At 37.0% G+C, this 12534-nt stretch overlaps 1 annotated feature.

Annotated features, from left to right (window-relative positions):
• Positions 3093–3262: an enhancer, noted in NCBI's record as "experimental_74277 CRE fragment used in MPRA reporter constructs". NCBI's record gives its function as "activates a minimal promoter by MPRAs in K562 erythroleukemia cells, with activity observed for both the introgressed and non-introgressed 4:130915740 variant alleles {active_cell/tissue: K562}" and the evidence as "EXISTENCE:reporter gene assay evidence [ECO:0000049][PMID:34662402]".

The raw sequence follows: 12534 nt of genomic DNA on the forward strand, positions 1-12534 counted from the left end.
TTCTAGTAACACTGCTTGGTGATAACTACTGCCTCTTTTTATTTTTATTTATTTTGCAATATTTTGGAGCTATTTTATTTACTCTTCTAACATATTTACTGGGTGCCTATTTATTATAAGATAGGCAATGTTCTAAGCACTGGTTTATTGCAGTGGAAATAAAAGACAGAAAAAATCTTTAAAAAATTACATTTCAAGAGAAGGAAAGAGGCAATAAACACAATAAATAAGTAAAATACATGATATGTTAAACAGTGACAAGAGGTACAGATTTTAAAAATATTCTTAAGGAGATCAAGGTGTTGAAAGAAAAAGGGGATAAGGGAGTACCTCATTGGGGAAGAAGTTTACGTATGTTAATCAGAGAAGAACTTTGAGAGCTTTATTTTCAGCAAAGACTTGTAGAAAATAGGGAGCAAGACTTAATCAAGCAGAGAATTCCACATTCAAAGGCCTTACTGCAGGAGCTTGTTCAGCATCTTCTAGGAAAGCATCTTTGCAATGTGGGTGGGACAGAGTGATCACAAGGCAAAGACTTCATATATTGAGTAATTAATACCATCAATTCATTGATTAACTAATCATTGTTATAATATTCTGCATATTGTATATGTTTTTTTCTCATCAAATATTTTATGAGTCTCTAGGATAGGAATAGGGCTTCTCTCTAGTACGTACAACTCTATTAATCACACATAGCCTTTAAAATAATTGCATACTAAGGTCTTATTTCTCTTACAGAATATATTATGTAATACTTACAGAAATACCTCAGCTGCTTTCTTCTCCAATGTTCTTTTCAATGGCTAAGTTCATTTTGAAATGTAAGAATCAGCCCCTTAGTTGGGGACACAAAACTGATTGTTTTGTACTGAATATAGTTCCATGAAGAATTGTTAAAATGTTAATTTACTTAATTATAATTACGTTATTGCTTGCTATTATTTTTACAGCAAAAGTAATAGGCTTATGGAAGAGAACATTACTCTAATTTTGTTTATTAATGAGGACATCAAAGTCTAGAGAGAGGTAAAATAATTTGCCCAAACTCACACGGGTGTTTATAGTTACAGCTAGCATTATTGCCTACTTACATGATAGCTACAGCTAGCATTATCATGTACTTAATATGTGATAGCCACTGTGCTACATACTTTACAGGAACTATGTAATTTTAATCCTTCCCACAACTCTGTGAGATAACCATTATTACCATTTCTATTTGGCTCATAACAAAACTGAGGGAAATAAGTAACTTCTTCAAAGTCACACAGCTGCTGAGCAATGGATATGGGATTCTACCTAGATCTTTATGCCTCACGCAGAACCCACATGGATAACTGCTTGCCTCAATGCTAGAGAGAGAGGAGGAGAGATACAGGGACAAGAAGGCCCTTTAGAAGGCAGATAGGTATACTAGAAAAAAAAATTTGTTATGGTCACTCATTGATTGAATCTCGCCTTCACCTAATAACTGAGTATTTGTGAAACCGCTTTTGCAAAAATTATAACTGAGGAAATTATGACAGTGAAAGAGATCAGACCTAACCAACTCCATCTTGCTTCTAACCTTTAAGCTGCCCTTGTTAATTCCTGGGTGTATGTCAAACTAACCTAGTGAAGGAGTTTAGTTTATGGTTTGACTCTGAAATGAAATTGATAATAGCCCTTTCCCAAAAAGACCCACTTCTTGCCTCGGGACCAGTCTACCTTTGTAGGACAAAGAAATTAACCACAAGATTAGAAATCTAGGGGTCATGCAGCCTCTGGCTGCAGGAGTCTGAATCTCCCCAAATTGCTCCTGGGGATAACATCACTATTATAAAGCCTAAGATCAGTGCATGAGGTCTTTTGCAGACCCTGCACTCCATGAATCAGCTAACATCACCCAGAACAGTAATCTGTCTCAACCAGTTCCGTGATCCCACCCAGGAACAGAAAACAGCAAGAAAATCTTACTTCGACTCCCTATGATTCTATCTCCAACCTGACCAATCGGCACTCCCCACTTCCGGAGACCTTACTACAAAATGATCTTTAAAGACTTTGATATTGGATAGGAGAAACTGATATGAGCAATAATAAAACTCCAGTCTTCCGCACAGATGGTTGTGTGTGAATTACTTTTTCTCGATTTCAATTCCCCTGTCTTGATAAATCAGCTCTGTCTAGGCAGCAGGCAACGTGAACCTGTTGGGTGGTTACATGTGGGGCATGCTACATAACTTTCTGAATCTATTTTCTCTTTTGAAAATTGAAGAATCAAATTACAGCTCCATATTTGCTTAATCAGGACCTTGACTTTTCTATCATGAGTAAAAGTTAGAAGCTATTAAACTTCTTAACTTAATTGGTGAGTAAATTCTTATAGATTAAGAGAAGCTATTCAGTTGAGGTGAAAACCGTTATATGCCTAAGAAGAACGCAGATCATTATATTTAAAAAATAGCACTTGATTTTAAGTGACATTTTAGTATAATATAAAAAAAATCTGAAGTACCCAATGATTTTAAGGTTAAAAGAGTACATTGAAATTAATAAGGTGCTCATTAATTCACCCCAATTATCTGCTTATTTTTCATTCCTTTCTTTTGCATACATGTGAAATTTTAATTGTGTTCAGTGAAGAAAGCCCATATTCTCAGCATGCATCATTATGTATCCACATTGTACGCAACTAAAAAGTAACTGTTTGCTTGCACATGCATATCTATAAGTTCCAATGTAGGTTCATAACAGTCATTTAATATTCACGATAGATGTAATTTGATATTTTTTGAAATTGAAAACAAATTTGTTTTGTAGGGTCTCTGAATAGGCTATTGATCTGTTGTCATACATGATTTTTATTGTGGTTACTCAGAAGCAAAGTCTGTTACTTTGATTGCTGTATTTTGCCAAACATATTCTTCAACTTGTTCTTCTGTATATGAAAATGATATGATTTACCCACTGTGAGTTGGAAGTCTTTTCAAGTTATTTTTACATTGTTAGTAATGAATTTACAATAAGCATCCAACTTCCCACACTGAATCCCTTGGTGATCAATTGAATGCATTTACTGGATCACCAGCTGAGATATTAGGGTGTAATCTGTGCCTAGGGATCCGAGATTTCTTTGTATAAATTTAATTTACCCTTATGGGGATCAAAAGCTAATTAACACCCATTGTTTCCAACTGAGCTAAAAGCTTGAAGCAATTAGTATTTGAGAAATATTTTCTTTCGTTAATATTTTTTTCAGCATGTAATCTTGATTGGTTCCATTTTAGGCACTGATAGGGTATACTTTAAAATTAGAATTGTATGGACTATGTTTTTTGAATTTTTGTTGTTTTTGTTACTATTCCCTGATAAATATTTATACAACAACACCACCACCAACAACAACAAAAATGTAGTGTCTAGGTGCTCATTCCATCCTACTTTCCGAATGAGATGACTAATAACTTTCAAGACATCAAGATTATTCTCTCACAGAAGAAGTGAGAAAACATTTTTAATCATTAACACAAGGGAGTTTGCCACTTTTCAATAGAGGAGACATTGTGTACTAGTTGCTTTAGCCTTACGGCTGTTGATTAGTTACACAGATGTGTTAGAAATAGAGCTCCTAGCAATATTTAACATGACGAGCGAATGAATAAACACTGTTTAAAAAATATGCCTCATCTAAGACATTATGCTATTCTTATCAATTATTATATACAAGTAAAATGCAAGCCTGTGTGATTATACAGTTTCTTTTATATCTAACCATTATTCATGAAGAAAATATTCAGGAACAGAAAGATGATAAATGTTTGTGGAAACAACTGAAGTTTTTGTTTTGCTTTAAAACACTGACATAATTTGAAAGTATGATATATTACCAAGTCTCTTTATTATAATAGTATGTTGACAAATGATATTGTGAATGGATAATTTGTAATACTACAAACCAAAGATTAGAAAGAATTGTGTATAATAAGTTAGAATCTTTGTTTTATAAATATCCCTTGCTGGTAGCACATCAAGTGCTTAACTCTTTCAGTCAATTAATGCAACTTTGAGGACTTCAGAGTGAGCATGAAAAGTATAGTAAATGAGACTACAGTGACTCTAAGGGAAATACCCCTACAAATACCTTCATACATACAAATAACTTTCACACTAATAAAAATGGTTTTGAGGAAGAGATTAACGTCCTCTTTTTTTTTTGAGAGGGAGTCTCACTCTGTTGTCCAGGCTGGAGTGCAGTGGCGTGATTTCAGCTCACTGCAGCCTCCGCCTCTGCCTGCCAGGTTCCAATGATTCTCCTGCCTCAGCCTCCCACGTAGCTGGGATTACAGGTGCCCACCACCACACCTGCCTAATTTTTGTATTTTTAGTAGAGATGGGGTTTCACCATGTTGGCCAGGCTGGTCTCGAACTCCTGACCTCAGGTGATCCACCAGCCTCAGCCTTCCGAAGTGCTAGCATTACAGACTTGAGCCACCATGCCCAGCCGAGATTAACTTCATATTAGGTTTATAGAAAGTAAAAATGTTCAGCTGCTTTTGTTATTAGTTTCTCTTTATGGTGGAAAATTGTAAAACATGACTTAGAAAAATAGCATGTAAAATTTATCAACAGTTATTTACTCTTTTGGGTTAAGGTTTTTTTTTTTCAAAGTATTTTTTGACATCTAATATTACTGGTAAAAGCAGTATATTAAACCATCCAGCTGTGCTTTATCTTCTTTTAATTCAGAAGTTCTTACCTGGGTTCTGCATACCTCTACAGGGTTTGTGAAATTCTAGAAATCACTTTATGTTTTTCTTTATTGATTATGGCAAAGCTTTGCTACATCTTACTGTATTATTGTATCTTGGGTAATTCATTGTGCTCATCGTTAAGGTTGCAAAGATGAAAAAGAGCAAGAAGCCTAGAGTTCAGCAAGAGATATATACCAGCAAGTCATATCACTGAAATATATACAAAGTTCAATAGGATGACATGAAGGGACTGTCTGTCTGTAATGCAGTGAAGGGCATAAGAAATCTCATGGAGGAGGTGATCCTTCAGCTTAGTTTTGAAGATTGAGTAGTAATTTGGCAAGGTTAGTAAAACTAAAGGGTACACAGGTTTTTTTCTTTATAGTCACATATTTTGTGTATGTGGAAAGCTATGTTGGGGGCTGGAACATTGTGGTAAGCTGAATAATGGGACTCCCATATTATCCAGGCCCTAATCCCTAGCACCTGAGTATTACCTTCTTCAGGAAAAGGGTCTTTGCAGGAGTGATTAAAGATTTTGAGATAAATTATCCTGGATTATCTGAATGGGACCTAAATGTGATCACAAGTGTCTAGATAAAAAGGAAACAAGGAAATGTATCTATATAAAAGGAGAAAGGGATGTGATGATGGAAACAGAGATTAGAGGATATGCTTTGAAGGTGGAGAATCAGCCACAAGTTTAGGAATACAGGCAGTCCCTACAAGCTGAAAAAGATGAGGCAATGTGTTCCACTCTCAAATCTCCAGAAGGAATCAGCCCTCCACCACCTTGATTTTAGTCCAGTCTATCTGATTCTGACCTCCAGAACTGTAAGTTAATAAATTTGTGTTGTTTTATACTAATAATTTGTGGTTATTTGTTATAGCAACAACAAGAAACTAATACAAGCATAAACTCTTACCCTGAAATGCCTCACTTGAATCACATACTCTTGATATTACTCCCATGGGTTATCTTAAATTCACTCAAGAGCATTGCAAATTTGATTGGTTTTATTCAGACGCACACCTCATATATTGTGATCTACATGCATTAAGGTCATTTTTCCCTATTTCTTGTCCAAACTGCAACCTAAGTTGAAGTTTTAATTGTCCATCACCATGCTCCAGGGAAGACCACATGGCCCAAGGGCACTTTCTTTGGAAAATCACTGAACTTATAAAAATAATATAACAGATGATTTCTAAGATCTCAGTGTGTCCTATACTTAGATTTCAATTTCAAAAATATAACTTTAGCATCAACTCATAAAAATAAAATAGTGAATGAGAAATAGGAAGACAGTGAGGAATAAACTAGACAATCGTATACAGGAAAGGTTTATCCTATACAGTGAGAATAGAGATAAAGACATACCTCAAAGATGTTTTGGATTCAGAATCAGTTATCTCTGACTGGATAGTTGGGATTTTGGAGTCAAAGATAACTCTGAAATTTACAGCTTGGTCAACTGCATCATGTGGTAACTGAGCCAGGAAATTTGCATTTCAAAGAGGTGAATCGTTTTCAATATATTTAGTTTTAGATATTCATGGGACAACTGTGTAAGTATTGATATTTAAAAATAAAAATAGGTTTGTTCACTGGGAGGAAGAGGACAGAATTGAATCCTCCAGCAATTTTCCCCCAACAGGAACACCAAATTGAACAACCATTCACACAAGAAATCACCTACATAAGAAGAAGAAATCAGATGAGCAATCACAGTACCTTGTTTTAACATCATATAAAGAAAAGAGGCACTTTAGAGGGTAGGAAAGACAGTCTTGAATCGCCTACATGACCCCTCCTTCATGCTTCAGCAGAACAACATGGCTCAGAGAGAGAATTTCTGTGCTCAGGAGAGGGAGAGCAAAGCAATTGTGAGACTTTGCATTGAAACTTGGTGCTATCCTGTCACAGCAGAAAGCAACGCAGGGCAGAACTCAGTTGGTGCCAATAAAGGGAACATTTAGAACATCCCTACCCAGATGAGAATTTTTTATCCCAGAAGTTAGGAGTCTGCATTCCAGCTAGCCCTACCACCACAGGCTAAAATTCTCTGGGGTCCTAAATCAACTTGAAAGACAGTCTGGGCCACAAGGATTACAATTCCTGGGCAAGTCCTGGTGCTGTGCTGGGCTCAGAATCAGTGGACTTGGGGTGCATGTGACCCAGTGAGATAAACACCATCTGGGGAAGCCCAGGGAGTGCTTACATCACCCATCTCCCAACTCCGGGCAGTGGAGCTCATAGCTCCAGGAGAGGGAAGAGAAAAGAGGACTTTGTCCTGCAACTTGGATACCAGCTCAGCTACAGTAAAATAAAGCACCAAGCATAGTCCTGAAGCCCTCTTTCCAGGCCATAGCTCCTGACATAGACTCACCCTGAGCCTGAAGGAAACACATTGCCCTGACGAGAAGAGCCCAATCCTGGCAGAATTTACCATCTGCTGACTAACGACCCCTTGGGCCTTCAATGAACATCAGTGGTAGCCAGGCAGCAGTTGCCATGGGCCTTGGGCAAGACCCAATATTGTGTTGGCTTCAGGTGTGACCCAACACATTCCCAGCTGTGGTAGTCATGGAGAGAGACTCCTTCTGCTTAAGGAAAGGAGAGGGAAGAGTAAAAAGGACTTCGTCTTGCAACTTGGGTCCCCGCTCTGCCACAGCAAAATAAAGCACCAAGTAGATTCCTAAAGTCCCTGATTTCAGGTCTTATCTCCTGAAGGGCATTGCTAGACCCACCCTGGGCCAGAATGGAACCTGTTGCCCTGAAGGGAGATACCCAGGCCTGGCAGGAGTCACCACTTGCGGACTAATGAGCCCTTGTGCTTTGAATAAACATCAGCGGTCGCCAGCCTGGAGTCTCCACAGGCCTAGGGGTGATGGTGGCCAAAGGCAGAGACTCCTTCTGCTTGAGGAAAGGAGAAGAAAAAGTAAAAATGACTTTGTCTTGCCACCTGGGTACCAGCTCAGTCCCAGTAAAATAAAGCACCAAGCAGACTCCTAAAGACCCTGGTCCCAGGCTCTAGTTACTGGATGGCATTTTTAGACCCCACCCTGGGCCAAAAGGAAACCTGTTGCACTGAAGAGAAAGACTCAGTCCTGGCAGGATTTATCACCTGCTGACTAAAAAGCCCTTGGGTCTTGAATAAACATCAGTATTAACTAGGAAATAGTCATCACAGCTGTTGGGTGAGACCACCTGTTTTGGCTTCAGGGGTGACCCAGCACAGTCCCAGCTGTGCTGGTCATGGGAGTGCTTTCATCATGCCTCCCCCAACTGCAGGCAGCTCAGCACAAAAAGAGAGACTCTATTTGTTTGGGGGAAGAGAACAAGAAACTCTGCCTGGCAACTCAGGGAAATTTCCTAGGTGTTATCCAAGACCACCAAAATGGCACAACTACAACTCTGCAAGAGTCACAGTGTTCCAGGGCTTGTGGTTCCCCATAAAGCACATATAGCTGCAGTGGCCAAATGCTTAGATCACGATGCTCAATTTTCTCTGAATACTTGGAAAGACTTCTCAAGAAGGATGGGTACAAATAGGCTCAGACTGTAAATATTAGAATACATACTTAACTCTTCAATGCCAGACATCGACAAATATCCACTAGCATCAAGACCATCCAGGAAAATATGACTTCACCAAAAAAACTAAATAAGGCATTAATGACCAATTCCAGAGTGACAGAGATATACATGATCTTTCAGATAAAGAATTCAAAATAGCTGTTTTGAGGAAGCTTAATGAAATACAAGGTAACACAAAGAAATAATTCAGATTCCTATCAGATAAATTTAACAAAGAGACTGAAATAATTAAAAAGAATGAAGGAGAAATTCTGGAGCTGAAAAATTTAATTGACAGACTAAAGTATTCTTCAGAGTCTCTCAATAGCAGAATTAATCAGAAGAAGGAATTAGTGAGCTTGAAAACAGGTTGTTTGAAAATATGCAAGGAGTCAAAAGAAAAAGAATAAAAAATAACAAGGCATGCTTACAGAATCTAGAAAATAGCCTCAAAAGAACTAATCTAAAAGCTATTGGCCTTAAAGAGGATGTAGAGACAGAGATCAGGGTAGAAAGTTTATCCAAAGAGATAACTGGTAATTTTCTGAACTTACTGAAAGATATTAATATTCAAATACAAGAAGGATATAGAACACCAAGCAGATTTAACATAAATAAAACTACCTCAGGCCGGGCGCGGTGGCTCACATCTGTAATCCTAGCACTTTGGGAGGCTGAGGTGGGTGGATTACCTGAGGTCAGGAGTTCAAGACCAGCCTGGCCAACACGGTGAAACCCCATCTCTACTAAAAATACAAAAAATTAGCTGGGTGCAGTGGCGTGCGCCTGTAGTCCCAGGAGGCTGAGGCAGGAGAATCACTTAAACCTGGGAGGCAGAGGATTTGGTGAGCCGAGATAGCACCATTGCACTCCAGCCTGGGCAACAAAAGCGAAACTCCATCTCAAAAAATAAAAATAAAACTACCTCAAAACATTTAATAATCAAATCCAGAAGGTCAAGAATAAACGAAGAGCCCCAAATGCAGCTGAAGAAAAAAATAGCATATAAAGGGGCTCCTATACAGTTGAAAGCAGATTTCTCAGTGGGAATCTTACAGCTAGGAGAGAGTGGCATGATATATTTAAAATGACAAAAGAAAAGAAAAAACTTTTATCCTGGAATATTATATCCAACATAAGTATCCTTCAAACATGAATGAGAAATAATGACTTTTGCAGAAAACAAAAGCTGAGAAATTTCAACTCCAGACATTTTATGCAAGAAATGCTAGAGAGCTCTCAGATCTGAAAGAAGAGGATATTAATGAGAAAAGAAAAAAACATCTAAAGGTGTAAAACCCACTGGTAATAGTAAGTACACAGAAAAACACAATACAATGATACTGTAATTGTTGTATGCAAACTACATGTGTCTTGAATAAAAAGACTAAAATATGAACCTATCAAAAACATTAACTATAACAACTTTTTAAGGCATAGTGTAATAAGATAAATAAAAGCAACAAAGTTAAAAATTGTGAAGGGAAGTTACAGTTTAGAGCTTTTCTTAGTTATCTCTTTATTGTTGTTTGTTTTATTTTTATTTTTTAGAGACAGGGTTTAACTATGTTGGCCAGGCTGTAGTGGGAATGTAAACTAGTACAACCACTAGTGAAAACAGTATAGAGATTACTCAAAAAGCTAAAAATAGAACTACAATTAAATCCAGCAATCCCACTAGTGGTTATCCATCCAAAGAAAAACAAATTAATATATTAAAGAATACTGGCACTCATATGTTTATTGCAGCACTATTCACAATAGGAAAGATGTGGAATCACATCTTTCACATTAAACCTGTGTTTCAATTATAAGTTCCCAGAAAGAGATGAATCAATAAAGAAAATTTACGTGTACATATTAGAATACTCTTCAGTCATAAGAAAGAATGAAATTATGTCATCTGTGGCAACATAAATGTAACTGAAGATCATTATTTTAAGTGAAATAAACCAGGCACAAAAAGACAAATACCACATTTTCTCACTTATTTGTGAGCGCTAAAAAATCTGATCACATGGAGGCAGAAAGTGGAAAGATGGAGAAAAGAGACTGGGAAGGGTGAGTTAGGGGAAGGAGGGAAGAAGATAAGTAGGTTAAAAGGTACAAACATGCAGTAAGATGGAATAAATTCAATGTTTGATAACAGAGTAGGGTGATGGTAGTTTAACAAAAATATATTGTATTCAGGAGATAGGCACTCTAAATATGCTGATTTGATCACTAGACATTATATATTTTAACAAAATTTGACATGTATCCCATACGTTTGTACAAATAATAAATAAATGCATAGATACACAGAAAGATTAAATGAGTTAATGCATGTCAAACGTTCCACGTAGGTTTGGCACAGAGTATAAGTGCCCAAGAAATGTTAGCTACAATTACTATTAAAAAAATAAAGATGGTCTGGGTGTGGTGGCTCACGTCTGTAATCCCAACACTTTGGGAGGTCGAGGTGGGTGGATCATCTGAGGTCAGGAGTTCAAGATCAGCCTGGCCAACATGGTGAAACGCCGTCTCTACTAAAAATACAAAATTTAGCCGGGGGTGGTGGAGCACGCCTGTGGTCCGGGCTACTCGGGAGGCTGAGGCAGGAGAATCGCTTGAACCCAGTAGGTGGAGGTTGCAGTGAGTCGAGATCGTGCCACTGCACTCCAGCCTGGATGACGCAGTAAGACTCCATCTCAAAAAAATAAATTAATTAATTAAAATAAATAATTAAAGATGGTATGTAATAGAGAGGCTGATGTGCCAATATAGATTTGGGAGGTTAAGTGAAGCCACTACCTCGGTATACTTTGGGAAGAACGTGCAGAAGAAGAAAATAGTCCCAATTCCAGAATAATAAGAAATGAAAAGTGGAAAACTCAGGATATAAAAGAAGATCTAGTAAGAGAGACTGAAAAACAATCTAAAGGAGAAGAGCAAAAACAAAGGTAATGTTAAATTCAAGGGAAGAATTCCAGAGATCTGTCCACTCTTGCATATCAGAAAGGGAGATATAATAAAGGATTGGTGATTGCGAAGCAGTGCTGGAATTCTAGATGAGATAAGAATTCATAAATCTGCAGATTTTTCCCCAGATTCACTGTAAGTTTTATGTTCTTACAATAATATAGAAGTACATTAAACCTGTGTTTCAATTATCATGAGGCTAAAAAAAAAACCTGGCTTAACTCTGATTTAAAAAAATTGCCATTTGGATTCATACTGTTATTTAGATTAGTGAAATCTTCCATCTTCATCTTATAAATTATATGCTATTATGGTTTCTGGTTATAGCATAGGGATTTTTACTCCATGGAAAATAAAATCAGTAGAGCTACATTACAAACAAGTATACCAGTTGATCTTTGAAATGTGAAGTTTCTGATACAATCATGAAGAAAAGGATATTTAAGTAGGAAACTGTAATCTACCTTTGTGTTCCTTTTAACTTTTGTCACAGTGTCACTGTGGTCATGACTCCCAAGTGGCAAGATTATTAATCTCTACTTGATAAAAACATGTTGCCAGAGTCAAATTTGTATGAAACCAAGGGAGATTCTAAAATTCATATTTCTCTACTTCATGTTTCATAGATAAAAAGATTTGTGTTGATCACTAGGCTAGAAAAACAACTGTTTTCTCCTAATTCTGTTTACATGTAAAGTTTACTTTCAAGTGGGCTTGCTTTTGAGCTAAAATAGTCTTTTCTATTATACTAACCATAAGTCACTTTAGCTTGAGCTGTTATAAAATATTAAATCAATTTTAATTATTCTCCCCTAAGGGTATAAGACTAAGATATTTCTTTTCACATTTTAAACACATTCATCATATTAAGCTTGATATATTAATGTATAACGAACTTGGAGCTTGTTTCCAATATTGGATCAATGGGCTGGAAATAGACAAACTTTCCCTTCCTCCCCAGTGATCTGGGCAGCAGCAACCTTGGTCTCAGCTAGAGATATATGGTGATTCTCTTGGAGATTTTACTAATTTTTCCATCAAGGACTTTTTGATGTGCAAACCATTGGTTACATGACTTTTATAAGTGTCTCCTTCCTTAAAATATTCAAGTATATACTTTATTGATTTAGAAAATATTGATGATCCCAAAAGAGTGGGTAGTGAATGAAAAACAATATTCTTGACTTCCAGGAATGTTTAATAGAAATTGTTGGCTTCCTTCCCTGACTTAATTCCTGCTAAGATGCCGCACTGAGA

Source organism: Homo sapiens, chromosome 4 (assembly GCF_000001405.40).
Source record: "Homo sapiens chromosome 4, GRCh38.p14 Primary Assembly".
Classification (NCBI taxonomy): Eukaryota; Metazoa; Chordata; class Mammalia; order Primates; family Hominidae; genus Homo; species Homo sapiens.